The sequence below is a fragment of the Homo sapiens genome, chromosome 7 (genome assembly GCF_000001405.40).
Source record: "Homo sapiens chromosome 7, GRCh38.p14 Primary Assembly".
Lineage (NCBI taxonomy): Eukaryota > Metazoa > Chordata > Mammalia > Primates > Hominidae > Homo > Homo sapiens.
In genome coordinates this window covers 28,951,362-28,966,250 of record NC_000007.14, presented here as the reverse complement: position 1 = coordinate 28,966,250, position 14,889 = coordinate 28,951,362, and the positions used below count along the sequence as shown (strand labels likewise).

General features: G+C 47.9%; 1 protein-coding gene across 1 annotated transcript; it reads left to right on the top strand.

The window, feature by feature from the left end:
• Positions 1–7,920: 7,920 nt before the first annotated feature.
• TRIL (TLR4 interactor with leucine rich repeats) lies at positions 7,921–12,893 on the top strand. Its single transcript, NM_014817.4, has one exon. The coding sequence runs from the start codon at positions 8,205–8,207 to the stop codon at positions 10,638–10,640; it is 2,436 nt and encodes an 811-aa protein (NP_055632.2). The 5' UTR covers positions 7,921–8,204; the 3' UTR covers positions 10,641–12,893.
• The last annotated feature ends 1,996 nt before the right edge of the window (positions 12,894–14,889 follow it).

Below are 14,889 nucleotides of genomic sequence, written 5' to 3'. Positions count from 1 at the left end.
CACATACACCACATGGGTAGTTTATGACAAGCATTGGATTTTTTTAAAAAATGACATTTGCAAATGCCTCTGGGGTTTTACACTGTATACAATAAATTGTCTGACTAACCAAGGTTATTTCTAGTACCAAGATAGATGTTTAAAAAATGTTTCTAAGAAAGACATTTGTAATGAAGCAGGGCATGGCAGGGCATGGCAGGGCAATGGAGAAAGCAAGAGTTGATATGAATGGCATCATATACATTTTTTACCAAAGATTTTTAGCTACAAAAACAAACATTCACTGTAAAAAATTTTGATTGTAGAGAAAAATAAAATGAAGAAAAAATATCTGCAGTCTCACCAACCAAAGAAAAGCAGTGTTCAGCAAACTCTTATCCTCCAAATTTCTAAAGCCATGAACGCTATAAAACCTGATCACTTACGTTAAGCTTTTGAACATTCTTCAGTTCCAAATATCTAAGTGGTAACAACACATTTTCCTTTTTCAATCTACAACATATTACAGCAGACAAAGAAAAAGATGATGGAAGCATTCATGTTTGAGGTTTCTCAATTATATTTTGGATATGAAGTAGGGATGAATGGGGGGCTGGGAGTGTCATTATGGATCTATTAGCATTCTACCAACAGAAATATTTGCTCCTGCCTACAGCAAGGACTCCAGTGCTATGTGTGGAGGCTTTGATCTTGCGTCCCACTCCAGCATATGGTGTTACTAAGCATAATCAAAGTGCAAATCTTCATAGAAAATTACAGAGACTGAAAAGGGGATGGATGCTTCCTTCCTCTGATTTCCTTTCCTGCCATGTTCCTGGTTTTAAGTAAAAGAAGATTTGGCCTTTTGATGAAATCTGCAAACACTTTTAGGGTATTTACACTGTATAGAGTCAATTATTTAACTGTCCAAGATTGTTTTCATTACTGAGACTGACAGAACGTTTCTTGCCAGGATAAAGCCCCAGTTTTCGGCAGCATGGGTCTAAAGCTGCCTCCCTTATTTGGGCCCTATACAGTGACATTAGAATAAGGAGACATCTGCAGCTCTAGGGGAGGGAAGGAAGGACCCATGCACCATCCAGGTTTGGATAATAAATATTTGAAAATTTACAGGATGAGTTGCTAATCGTTTTTGTTGTTGTTTTGTTTTTTTGAGATGGAGTCTCGCTCTGTCTCCCAGGCTGGAGTGCAATGGTGTGATCTCGTCTCACTGCAACCTCCACTTCCTGGGTTCAAGCGATTCTCCTGCCTCAGCCTCCCGAGTAGTGGGATTACAGGTGCTCGCCACCACGCCCAGCTAATTTTTTTGTATTTTTAGTAGAGACAGGGTTTTGCCATGTTGGTCAGGCTGGTCTCAAACTCCTGACCTCAGGTGATCCGTCCCCCTCGGCCTCCCAAAGTGCTGAGATTACAGGCATGAGCCACCACGCCCGGCCGAATTGCTTATCTGTTAAGCTGATACTCTTCAAAAGAGATAGAGGTGACCTCCTACAAACAGTTTTAAGCCATTAATTATAACAATTCAGATCAAGTTGTGAAACAATAGAACTTTTAAAGAATTAAATTCCCTTTGAGTATATGTCAGCTCCCTGAAGACAGTGGGATACCATTTCTGATTTATAAATTGAAAATAAAACTCACGCTTTTGTCAAAGTTAATCATCTTCACCCTCTCAACGTGCTATTGTTGAGTATGAATGACTGTGATGAACTTGGGCCCAGAGACGTAGGCCCCAGGCAAGTTTACAATTTGGAAGCATTTGGACCCAAGAAGCCTCTGTGTGTTGTTTCTCATGGTTACTGATTATTGTGCCCAAGCTTCATGCAAATTGTTTTAAATAACATCATTACGAAGAAAAAAGTGTTACATCTAAAGCACCATTCAGAAATTTGAATCAAGTACAGGTGAGTCCACCTGAAGCTGCTGGACACTGGCACAGCAGGGCTGGTTGTTCCTGGCTGTTGTCTTTCCTGACCAGTCAGTGCCCAAACCTGACTAGCCAGTGCCCTTGCTGTACCAGTTGTTAAATATTTTGAATATCACACAGAACTGGCCCCACTGGTTGTACATACAGGCAGATATCAATGGGGAGCCTGCTGAGGCTCATCTGTTTCTGTCGTGGTCTGCACTCTCCCATTACACTGGTGGATCATTCCAGAAGTTAGCTAACCTCTCTAGCTCTTAGCATCCTCTCCTCCAAACTGGGGATATGAATAATCCTCACCTAATTCTCTCCTGAGATTTAGATGGATGTTAAAACCAGATATTAGACAGGAAAACTTATTAAAATTTAAAAAATAATTTTGAAGAAATACATAGTATTTGTATACCATTTAGAAAATAACAAAAAGTAGAATGAAAACATGTATTTTCTCGCCACCTAAAGACGGTAACTGTTAACATTTTTATTTTGTTTCTTTTCCTTATCTTTACTAAAACTTTGACAATTCAACAACAGTTGCTGAGCACCACAAAAATGAAATAAAACAAGGCTATTGCCCTTCCAGTTTCGTGGGGATATAAATGGCTAAATAAATGTTATTAGTGTCATGTGGAGAAGGCCCAATAAAAGAATAGTGGCAAGTGGTATCATAAAATACAATTACCGTTCTGGTTCCCAGACAGGACAAATATTTCAGTACTTAAGAGATACATTTGTACCTACAGCATCTCCTAAGGCTACTGACTCAATTTCATTTTAAGGGAAGACAACATTATATTACTGCTATAAAATTTCAGTTACATGTAAACAAACTCCATACTGTAACCATAAACAACATTTGGATCTGCCTTACTCCCTAAGTCATTATACTCATTCCACATCTGCCTTGCCCTTTTGGCTTGCCAGAAGTGCCTACAGTTCACTGTAGTTCTTGCAGATCCACAGTCTGTTTATATGTTGGTTTCAAACAATCAGGTTTCTTTGAACTGATGGATAAGGATTTTCCTTGGACGTAAAAATCCAGAGTGTTGGAACAGTCACTTTGTAAATGGCCTGAGACACATACACATGTTCGCTTTCCACAGAGGTTTTCGTTCTTCCTTATTTTCCTCTCGAAAAATAATTGCTATTATAGCATATTATTCTCATTGTATTACCCTAGGATGGTACTATCCTTCCGGATTATTGGCTTTTGTACATTCATCTTCCCAGCCATGCTGAGCTCTCTGAAGGCACCGGCTTTGTCTTATTCCTCTTTCTATCGTCAGCCTCCCAGCAAAGGAGATACTGAAATGTCTCAGTAAGCCCTTACAAATTCTAGTTTAGCAGTTCCTAAGCTTGGGTCTTCACCAGGCAATACCTGGTAACGTGCTAAATAAAATCTCTAGGCTCTATTCTGAAGGTTCCAAATCTGATTTTCTGGGGGTGGGGCTAGGATCCTATATTTTTAAAGAGCTCTCTGTAAAATGAAGACAATAATCATTTCTACCCCACCAGGTAGTTATGGAAGTAAATGAGTTATTTTATGTAGAGTGCTTAGATCACTGCCTGGCCCTCACTAAGCACTACATAAGTGCCGGTTATTATTATATTATTATTGTTGTTACATGATCAGCCAGTCATAAATAGGTGTTTTGAAGCACTGTCTATTGGTTTTCTCAAACTTGAGTGTGCATAAAAATCATCTGGTAGCTTACAAATGCAGATGCCACAGCTTTGCTGCCCAGAGATTCTGATTTAATAAGGCTCGTACCTAGCCAGGGACCTGCATTCCTGTATTTCCCAGGAAATGGAGAATTGGTGGATATTCTGTAAACCAGTGGGTATCTCATTCGCATTCCTGATCCCGAGGACAATAAACTTGTCTCTCAGGCTGGGGCTAAGATGCAGCTCATAGAGAGAAAGACAACTTTGGGGGGCATTTGATAATATGCCAGCTAATCACTGGGGAGTCTCCTGTTTCCTACTTCGTCTGTGTCAGGGGCCACACTGCCTGTCTGGGTTTGGCTCCCATGAGAGGAGGAGACTGCTACCATTCCTGCAGGCTGCCTGAGTAAGCTCCAGGATGCTGCTCCAGCAGAAGTGGGCTGGCTCCACCTCCTCGCACCCCCTGCAGCCAGACCTCTCCTCCCCCTTACCCATCCCGCACTAGGGCACTGCCTGACCAACTCCTGCCAGCTCCAGGAGCTGCTGAAGACATGGCCTGGAATCCTTCATACCTCTGTAGCTGAAGTTCAAGGGAACCACAGGTTGCTTGGGAAGACACAGGTGCACAACCGTGGCAAGCCTGAGAAGATTCCATGCCTGGGCAAGACCCCTGAGAGCCCTTACGCCACATGTATGTGCCATGGACCCAGCCCAAACGCATTTGTGCTTCTGACCTCTGAAACTACCCTGCAGTGCACTTGAGATTTAAAGTGCAAGCTTTCCAAAAGTGAAATGACAAAGCTCTTGTCTTCTCTCATGAATGGCATTCCTTCCTGGATTTCCAGTTGTGATTATGCAAATTATACACTTAAGTGTAACCAATACTTGAATCTCCTAGAACCTGATCAAGTGGGGATCCATCCATTAACAAAGACATTACATAGTTAAGAGACATTCATTTACCTAGAGACAATAGTGTCCTTGCTTTTACTAAAAAGTATTGCTTTTTATAGAAAATTAAGCACAGCCTATGTTATAATAAAGTAGAACTTACATTTCTAAAAACCGCTTTCCAGCCAGGCGTGGTAGCTCACGCCTATAATCCTGGCACCTTGGGAGGCCGAGGGGGGTGGATCACCTGAGGTCAGGAGTTTGAGACCAGCCTGACTAACATGGTGAAACTCTCTCTCTACTAAAAATACAAAAATTAGCTAGGTGTGGTGGTGCACGCCTGTAATTCCAGCTACTCAGGAGGCTTGAGGCAGGAGAATTGCTTGAACCTGGGAGGCAGAGATTGCAGTGAGGAAAAAAACAAAACAAAACAAAAAACCCACTTTCCTTCAAACTCCTGATTTTTTTCTTCTTGTACTTTCTAAAATCAAAGTACATTTACTTTCTCCCCTCCAAAAACAGCTGCATATAGACAGGCCTGTCTTCAAAATTTGAGAAGCCCAGGATTAGAGTGTGAAAGGTCACTCACTGGCCCACGGCTGTCCTTCCCAGCTCTGGCTCCTGCATTATGAGGGGTCTTCTGGGGGCCTGCCAGTGGAAACTCCAGCCTGCATCTCCAGATTCTTTTTTGCATAGCTGCCCCCTTGGTCTTCCCTTGGCCCTAGGAGTATACACACTTGTGGCATGACTGGCCACTAGGAAAACAGATGTGAAGGCAGCCTATATATACTTAGGCAGTTACACAGGGAATTCCAGGGTCTAGAGAACTCTGAGTAGGAAGCGGGGTATGGGTGTGCACATCTCCTTTGAGGCCTGAAATCCTGCTCTTATTGGAAGGTGCACAACCAGAGGAGGACTGGAACACAGCCCTGTAAAGCACAAGGTCCACAGACAGCGCCCACATTGGCCTGGTTGAGGAGATGCATTCACAGTATCTACAAGATGCCTATGTGCGTGGTATAGCTGAATGCCTCAGTCTGGATGCTCTATCCACACATCTCACACCTATTGCTGTCACAGATTTCAAGGACCTAGAAGGCAAGAACTAGGAAGACAACATTTTTTTTGTATAGCACCTACTTTGTTTATTTAGGCAGAGATTCCTCTTGAGGTTGTAGTGCAAATATGATTACATCAGCTACCTGCTGAAATCCTTAAAGGGGAATAAAGGAATATTTATTTCAAGTCACTGTATAAGCTAGGGTGTATGATACTGTTAAAGAATAAGTTAATAAAGCTCACCCTAAATATGCAGACAGAAGATGTGGAGGTTTCTAAATCCCTCCTTGCATGTGTCCCCAGGCTTCTCCTCCTTGAGCGTCTGCTCACCTTCCTCTAGGTAATACCACTCACCCCTCAAACTCAGCACAGGTTTCCCCTCTTCTAGACGCCTTCCTCACACTCTCAGGCCAGGTGCTGCTCCTCAGGACTATCACAGCTCCACCCCTCAGCGCTCATCTCCTGGAATTATCATTGACTCACCTCCCTGCAAAGCCAAGGTCCCTGCTCACCCACGAAGTCACCACTGACTACCCTGCCAACGATCTCATCTTTCTCTAAATTCAGAACTTCCCTCTATCACTTGACTATATTAATTGCTAAATGGGGCAATTACTGTGAAACATAGAATTATTAAAAATCATTTGTCACCCTGTGTGGTGTGGCTCATACCTGTAATCCTAGCACTTTGGGAGGCCAAGGTGGGAGGATCGCTTGAGACCAGGAGTTCGATGCCAGCCTGGCAACATGGCAAAACTCCCCCTTTATAAAAAATACAAAAATTAGCTGGTCATTGTGACAAGGGCCTGTTAGTCCCAGCTATTAGGGAAGCTGAGGTGGGCAGATCACTTGAGCCCTGGAGGTCATGGCTGCATTGAACGGAGATTATGCCACTGCACTCCAGCCTGGGCAACAGAGTGAGATCCCACCTCAAAAAAAATAATTTTTGTTTTTGTGGTGTTCTCTATTACTGCCTTATATTATTATCTAACCTTTCAATGCATTCATTGCCCTTCCCACTAGATTGTCATTGTCTTCAGGTGAGGATCTGTATCTTTCCTTTAATTTTCCACATTGTTGCAGAGTACGTCCTCAAAACTTACGTTTTCTCAACACCTTGGATAGGGGAAGGGCCCTTATTTTTTAGCAAGATGGTTTATATAAAGAAACAATAATTAATAATTAACAACTCCTCCTTGTGTATTCTCATTCTCAGCAGGGGCTGATCCCAAAGGAGCCGTTGATTAAATGCTCCATTCCCTAGAGATAATAAATAATAATGCTTCCCCAACTGAGCCAGGCCTGAACATTTTTGGGCCTAAAGACTTTGAAGATCACTGCAAGTCCAGGCGTAAAGCAGGAGGGCCCTGCAAGGAACGTTTACCTTAGGATCTGTGAAGGTTATTATGTATGTGCACACGAGCAGAGCCTACCCCAGGGGCTCTATTACTGTAGGAGAGTTAATGCGACTGAATCACCAAAATGTGGCAGAGACACTTTCATGTTGGCAGAACCAGTTCTGTGATTTCTTCATGTTCTAGCCCACAGCAGGATGGAGTAAATACTCCCTTCAGACACCTAAAAGGGGGTGGTGCCTCTCCTCAGCTACTAGTCCAACGACGTCAAAACCCAAGCAGCAACTGTCAGACTGGGTTCACCTACCCCCTTCTGATGGCCTTCTGCAGGCAACCTTGTGCTCCCCCAAACTTCCTGTAGAATGCTGGCGGACTCCGTGCTGCCCAAACTTCCCGCAGGGTGGCACCTGGAAGAGCAAGTGACTTAACAACGAGGAAGGCCAGGCGCGCTCCCACTGCTCAGAAGCGGCTGGTGTACTCGTCTAAAATAAAAAGGTCTCTGTCTGCAAATCCCGTTTGCTAGCCCGGTAATCCTCCCCCGCCCCCGGCCTAGCGTGTCCGGCCCGTACAGCTGTTTTTAATCCCTACTTTTCTCACTTGGCATCCCGGGCCCGGGCTGACCAGACGCGGAGCCACTTAGTGTTTCCTCCTCCCCCTGCCGGGGTCTGTCCTCCCTCTGCCGTCTCCTCTTTCTCCGCCTGCGTCCCCGCGGGCAGAGTGTGGGAAGAACGAATTTCCGCCCCGTTTGCTCTCCGCTCGCAGACTTGGGTCCCTTCCGGACGCAGCCCGCGTGCTCCCCGAGCTATTGCACTGGAGCCGCCCTCCCCGTCCGGGACCGCGAGCGAGAAGGTGCCGTCTGCGGGGGCCGAGCAGCCGGGGCTCTGCTGCCAAGCCGCGCCCCGCGAAGCTCTTGGAACGGCTCCCGCCTGCAGCTGGGGAATCCACTCGGCTGGGAGAATCCGCGCCAGGGAATCCAGCTCTCCGGACTCAGCTGCAAACAAAAAGCGCCGGGTCTTGCTCCCTCCTCCCGCCCGCCGACGCGCACCCGGAGAAACAGTTTTATACAGAAATGCAACAAGTAGTACCCGGGGTCTGCAGAGCGCCCCGCGCCGCCTGACTTGGCCGGGCGAAGCCCGCCTGCAGAGACCCGGGCCGGCCTCCGGACAAAGGACGGAGGAGGGGCTGGACGGCGCTGCGAAGTCCGAAAGAGGCCATTTAGCGACTCTGGCCAGGCTAAGGGGAATGCAGAGGAGACACAGAGCCGGCGGGCCAAGAGGACGATCCGGCCGCTGCACGCAGGGCGGGAGGCGATGGAGGCTGCCCGCGCCTTGCGCCTCCTGCTCGTGGTGTGCGGCTGCCTCGCGCTCCCGCCGCTGGCCGAGCCCGTGTGCCCGGAGCGCTGCGACTGCCAGCATCCCCAGCATCTCCTGTGCACCAACAGGGGGCTCCGCGTAGTGCCCAAGACCAGCTCGCTGCCGAGCCCCCACGACGTGCTCACCTACAGCCTCGGCGGCAACTTCATAACCAACATCACGGCCTTCGACTTCCACCGTCTGGGGCAGCTCAGACGGCTGGACCTGCAGTACAACCAGATCCGCTCTCTGCACCCCAAGACCTTCGAGAAGCTCTCGCGGCTGGAAGAGCTGTACCTGGGGAACAACCTCTTGCAGGCGCTCGCCCCGGGCACGCTGGCCCCGCTGCGCAAGCTGCGCATCCTCTACGCCAACGGGAACGAGATCAGCCGCCTAAGCCGCGGCTCCTTCGAGGGCCTGGAGAGTCTAGTCAAGCTGCGGCTGGACGGGAACGCCCTGGGGGCGCTGCCGGACGCGGTCTTCGCTCCCTTGGGCAACCTGCTCTACCTACATCTGGAGTCCAACCGGATCCGCTTTCTGGGCAAGAACGCCTTCGCCCAGCTAGGCAAGCTGCGCTTCCTCAACCTCTCTGCCAACGAGCTACAGCCCTCCCTGCGCCACGCGGCCACCTTCGCACCGCTGCGCTCCCTCTCCTCCCTCATCCTCTCGGCCAACAACCTGCAGCACCTCGGGCCGCGCATCTTCCAGCACCTGCCACGTCTCGGCCTGCTCTCGCTCAGGGGCAACCAGCTCACGCACCTCGCGCCTGAGGCCTTTTGGGGCTTGGAGGCCCTGCGCGAGCTGCGCCTGGAGGGTAATCGGCTGAGCCAGCTGCCAACTGCGCTGCTGGAGCCTCTGCACAGCCTGGAGGCGCTGGACCTGAGCGGCAATGAGCTGTCCGCCCTGCACCCGGCCACCTTCGGCCACCTGGGCCGGCTGCGCGAGCTCAGCCTGCGCAACAACGCGCTCAGCGCCCTATCCGGGGACATCTTCGCCGCCAGCCCAGCCCTTTATCGGCTGGATCTAGACGGCAACGGCTGGACCTGCGACTGCCGGCTGCGAGGCCTGAAGCGCTGGATGGGCGACTGGCACTCGCAGGGCCGGCTCCTCACTGTCTTCGTGCAGTGTCGCCACCCCCCGGCCCTGCGAGGCAAATACCTGGATTACCTGGATGACCAGCAGCTGCAAAATGGATCCTGCGCGGATCCCTCGCCCTCAGCTTCCCTGACCGCTGACCGCAGGCGGCAGCCCCTACCCACGGCCGCAGGGGAGGAGATGACGCCACCTGCAGGTCTCGCGGAGGAGCTGCCGCCGCAGCCGCAGCTCCAGCAGCAGGGGCGATTTCTAGCTGGGGTGGCCTGGGATGGGGCCGCCAGGGAGCTGGTAGGCAACCGCAGCGCCCTAAGGCTGAGTCGGCGGGGCCCGGGCCTCCAGCAGCCCAGCCCCTCCGTCGCTGCCGCCGCGGGCCCGGCTCCACAGTCCCTAGACCTGCACAAGAAGCCCCAGCGGGGCCGTCCGACTCGGGCAGATCCCGCCCTCGCGGAGCCCACCCCAACGGCCTCTCCTGGCTCTGCGCCATCGCCCGCCGGCGACCCCTGGCAGCGCGCGACGAAGCATCGTCTGGGCACGGAGCACCAGGAGCGTGCCGCCCAGTCCGACGGTGGGGCCGGGCTGCCGCCGCTGGTGTCCGACCCATGCGACTTCAACAAGTTCATTCTGTGCAACCTGACGGTGGAGGCGGTGGGCGCAGACAGCGCCTCGGTGCGCTGGGCCGTGCGCGAGCACCGCAGTCCCCGGCCGCTGGGCGGCGCGCGCTTCCGCCTGCTCTTTGACCGCTTTGGCCAGCAGCCCAAGTTCCACCGCTTCGTCTACCTGCCTGAGAGCAGCGACTCGGCCACGCTGCGCGAGCTGCGCGGGGACACCCCCTACCTGGTGTGCGTGGAGGGCGTGCTTGGGGGCCGTGTCTGCCCTGTGGCTCCCCGGGACCACTGCGCGGGGCTGGTCACCCTACCGGAGGCCGGGAGCCGGGGCGGCGTCGACTACCAGCTGCTGACCTTGGCCCTGCTGACGGTCAACGCGCTGCTGGTGCTCCTGGCCTTGGCGGCCTGGGCGTCTCGCTGGCTGCGTAGGAAACTGCGGGCTAGGCGGAAGGGCGGGGCCCCGGTCCACGTTCGGCACATGTACTCCACCCGACGGCCCCTGCGCTCCATGGGCACCGGCGTGTCCGCCGACTTCTCGGGATTCCAGTCGCACCGGCCACGCACCACCGTGTGCGCGCTCAGTGAGGCGGACCTCATCGAATTCCCCTGCGACCGCTTCATGGACAGTGCGGGCGGCGGCGCGGGCGGCAGCCTGAGACGGGAGGACCGTCTCCTGCAGCGATTTGCCGACTAGGTCCAGGGCATATAGAGACCATCTCATTGGCCCTAAGGAGCCGCCTCTCCGTGAGGCCCACCAGCCCACCTCAGGGGAAGTGCCGTTTTGTGCACTTGCCAGAGAGGCCGGTGGGGACAGAGGGCCAATTCGGGCACCATCCCCCAATTCCCAATACTCGAGAAGTAAATGGATGGTACTTGGTGGTCAGAGCCAGAGTAGGGGACAAATGGATGGTGGGATGCTGAGGTCGGAGGCTTCGCTTGGAGGCTTTGACACAGCTATGCGAATGGCTTTTGTAGCACTGCAATGCAGAAGCCAGGCTTTGGGGGTAGAAAGGGGGTGCTTGTGCCCCCAACATGGCCAGAAATATTTGGGTGCATGCTTTTTGTTTGCTCAGTGTCAAACAGAGAAGTTTTGTTTCTATTTAAGGAAGGAACTTATTACCATTACAAAGGAGGCTTGGCCAGGGACTCCACTGGTTTGGTGATCTCTGCCAAGAAGGGGGATGTAAACAGGTGGTAAAGTTTAACATACCCGCCAAGGAACTCGTTTATGTTGGCTGATAGAGCATTCAGGATACCTTAAAGTTTAATAAGAGACGCATTTTTTTTTTTCAAAAATGTGAAAAGCTCTGACATTTAACGAACTGACCAATAGACTCAAGGACTGTTTTAGTTGGACTGGGCCATTTTATTATGTTCCTTTTAATATTAACAGTACAAGAGCGCTTGCTGACTTCGAGGATAACTAAGATTACATACTTTCTCAGGAGAAGGCTGCATGCAAGACTTCTCTGTCAGGGTTGCTCCTGTGGCTTTTTTAATTTTATTTTTTTAAACCTATATATGGAAAAGGAAATTTCAATGCCAGATTTGATAAAAGAATGTGATGTATATGTAGCTGATGACCCACTGGGGAACACCAGTGTTCCAGTTCACTTACCACATCTGTGACAGTGTGTTTAGATTGGAATAAATGTGATGCATTACTTCTTATGTTTTTATCAGTGACATGGTTGACTGTGCCCTAATTCTCTTGAGTTGCAGTTAAGCAATGAAGGTTATTTCCTAATAGGGAAGCAAAAGGTGATTGTCAATTGATAGTTTAATGTTTGACCACATTAGTGTCTTTATATGAAATAGTAGAGGGGAAGAAATTATAGAAAACAAATGTGAAAAAAATACACCAGTGGGTATCTGTTCTACTAAAACCAGAAGATTGTTATGAGTACTTAAACCTCACTGTGAAATAATGATATATTTTGCAATTAATCCCTCCCCAACTGAGTGTCTTACTGTGTTATTAAATCTTATCTTTTAGTTAATAGTTGCAGTATTTCTTTTAAATGTTTTTGTTTTAAACTTAGGGGTAGGATCCTTTATTTGTTCAGTTGTTTCCAACTATTTGGGATACTTTCATTCCCTGCTATTTATGAAGTACATGTTTATCACTAAGTGTAGTGGTTTGGTTTACATTAATAATTTTATGTGTGGTCTAAAAATGCAGTCACTAAGAGAATGTACACTGTGGTTATGGTCACAGTGGTTATGGATTTATTGGCAGTGGAGTACCATGGAGGTCACTGCAATGGTGCTAAGGCTGACAGTGGAATCTTCTGTTTAGGGCCTTAAGCCCCTGAGGGTCCTGGTGACTCAGGGAATCCATCACAGCCCCGGGTCTTTCACCCCAGTTCACTCCTTTTATGTTTGGCCTAGATTGACCCATGCCTGCCCTCTTCTCAACAGCTGAGTAGGGAACCAGCCATCTGAATGAGCTGATCGTTGTTTATGTTCAAATGAGTAAATGTCCAGACCACTTAAAACTACAGCTGCTTTTCTGGCAGTCTCGTCTGCGGGGCCAAAACTTAATAAACCACAGGAAATAGACTGTCATTCTTAGTTTGCTGCCAGGGCTTATTTTAGATTGAGAGCATACTGGTACATGAGAGCAGTAGTGTTGTTTGCTCTTATTTTCAACCAGGGAGCTATCTGGCACCTTTTGTGCTCCTGGCTTTTTTCAATCATAGCACTATTGCATCTCCTAGCTATTTCTTTTGCCCAGCAGGGTAATATTGAGTCCCATTGCAAGTATGGACAAGGCCTCTGGTTCTCCTCACCACCCACCTTTTCAGCCATAGAACATCACTGAAAATGCCTAATGCCTGGATCTGTGTTCTACTTTAGTTTCACTGGGAAGTCTTTCAGTGGGAGATGAATAAATGTTATACATTGTTATGTCCAGTTATGTCAATAAACCCACTAATAGAGATAATTTGTTGGAGTTTCCAAATATTTTATACACTTTCATAATGACACAATGCAGTTCCCATTTATGGAAATGAAACATAAGCTTGATGTCTTTCTGTCCTTTTTAATGTTTTTTATTTCCGTTTTCATAGGTGAGTATGGACTTTAAGAAAAGGATGTGTGATGTTATGTGCAAAGAAACAATGAAATGGCTCTAAAAGCAGATGGTCAGCCACAGCATGAAAGTGCTGTTGGACACCAGTGACATCAAGGTGCAGGTGATCGGGTCTCAGCAGGCATTGCCTGTTTAAAGGAAACTGATGAAAAGTCAAGCCCTTTGGCTCTCATGGTCAAAAATATGAAGGAATTATCTTGAGCTGGAAGTAATTTTTGATTTTTGTCACTACACAGCTTATGAAAAGATAACATTCCTAAGGAAAAAAGAATAAACTTGGTATGAGTTAGGAGTATTCAGTGAAAGAGCCACTGGCCAGTCTGTAATGTTGTGGGACCTTCAGGTCAACCAATGGGATTACTGCTTCCATAATGCAGGGGATTTTGCAGGGCTACCAGGTAATAAATAATTAGCATGTGATCAGAACACCTTCACTAAATTGTCACACACCTGATTGTCACCAAAACTACAGCAACATATATGAAACCATTAAAAGAGAGAACTGAATTGCCTGTTATTTGTGTTTAAGCACTCCCTCCTGTTCTTATAAGACTGGAAGGTAAATGGTGATGAAGCATATTAGTGCTAGAAGTTTATTCCCAATTCCAGACCATGGCCTAGTATCAATATTGTCACCATCCTCAGAAAGTATAGCATCATGAAAGTTGGGAATGATGGTAAGGAAGTGATGAAGGCACTTAGTCATTAGAGGGTTGCATTCATTCTTTTTACCTAATTTCTACCTCAGCTTCCTCATCAGTTAAAATGAGCAGCCTAAGAATCCTGATTGCATAGTGCTATTGTGAGGCATAAATGGGTAAGTAGCATTCAACAACGCCAGATACACCACAGATGTTCAGTAAATATGAGATGTAGCAGTGGTAGTAGTATTTACACAGGGCAACAAATTGTTTGATTAAGAAGTTTCAGACACAAGGCATTTCTGCTTAAGCCATAACCAATCAGAGGATTCAGGTAATGGAATTATGGTAACCCTTCTCCTCCTCTTTTTCTAGTTAATTGAAACATTTGTGTAATTCTTTTGAAAAGTGTCTGTGCATGTCCTTTGCCCACTTTTTAATGGGGTTGTTTGTTTTTCTCTTATAAATTTAAGTTCCTTACAGATGCTTTGTCAGATGCACAGTTTGCAAATATTTTCTCCCATTCAATGGTAGCTTGTCTGTTGACTCTGTTGATAGTTTCTTTTGCTGTACAGCAGCTCTTAAGTTTAATTAGATCCCATTTGTCAATTTTTGCTTTTGTTGCCGTTGTTTTTGGTGTCTTTGTCATGAAATCTGTGCCCACGCCTATGTATGGGATGGTATTGCTTAGGTTATCTTCCAGCATTTTATAGTTTTGGGTTTTACATCTCAGTCTTCAATCCATCTTGAGTAGATTTTTATGTATGGCATAAGGAAGGGGTCCAGTTTCAATCTTCTGCATATGGCTGCCTGGTTATCCCAGCACCATTTATTGAATAGGGAGTCTTTCCCCCCTTGCTTGTTTTTGTCAGCTTTGTCAAAGATCAGATAGTTGTAGATGTGCAGCCTTATTTCTTAGCTCTCTATTCTGTTCCATTAGTCTATGTGCCCTTTGTTGTACCAGTGCCATGCTGTTTTGGTTACTGTAGCCTCGCATAGTGCAAAGTCGGGTAACGTGATGCCTCCACCTTGGTTCTTTTTGCTTAGGATTGCCTTGGCAATTTGCCTTCCCATTAACTTATAGATAGTATCTTCAAGTGTCCCTTTATTTAGTTTACTTAAAACAATACTTTGCATGCACAAATACTTTTTTTCCTAGGGATTTCAAGTCACTTCATCCTTTTCAGTCATGTGGCAAATAGTAT

Coding starts and splice junctions, on each gene's coding strand:
- TRIL (NM_014817.4), top strand. CDS start 8,205: ATGGAGGCTGCCCGCGCCTTGCGCCTCCTGCTCGTGGTGTGCGGCTGC.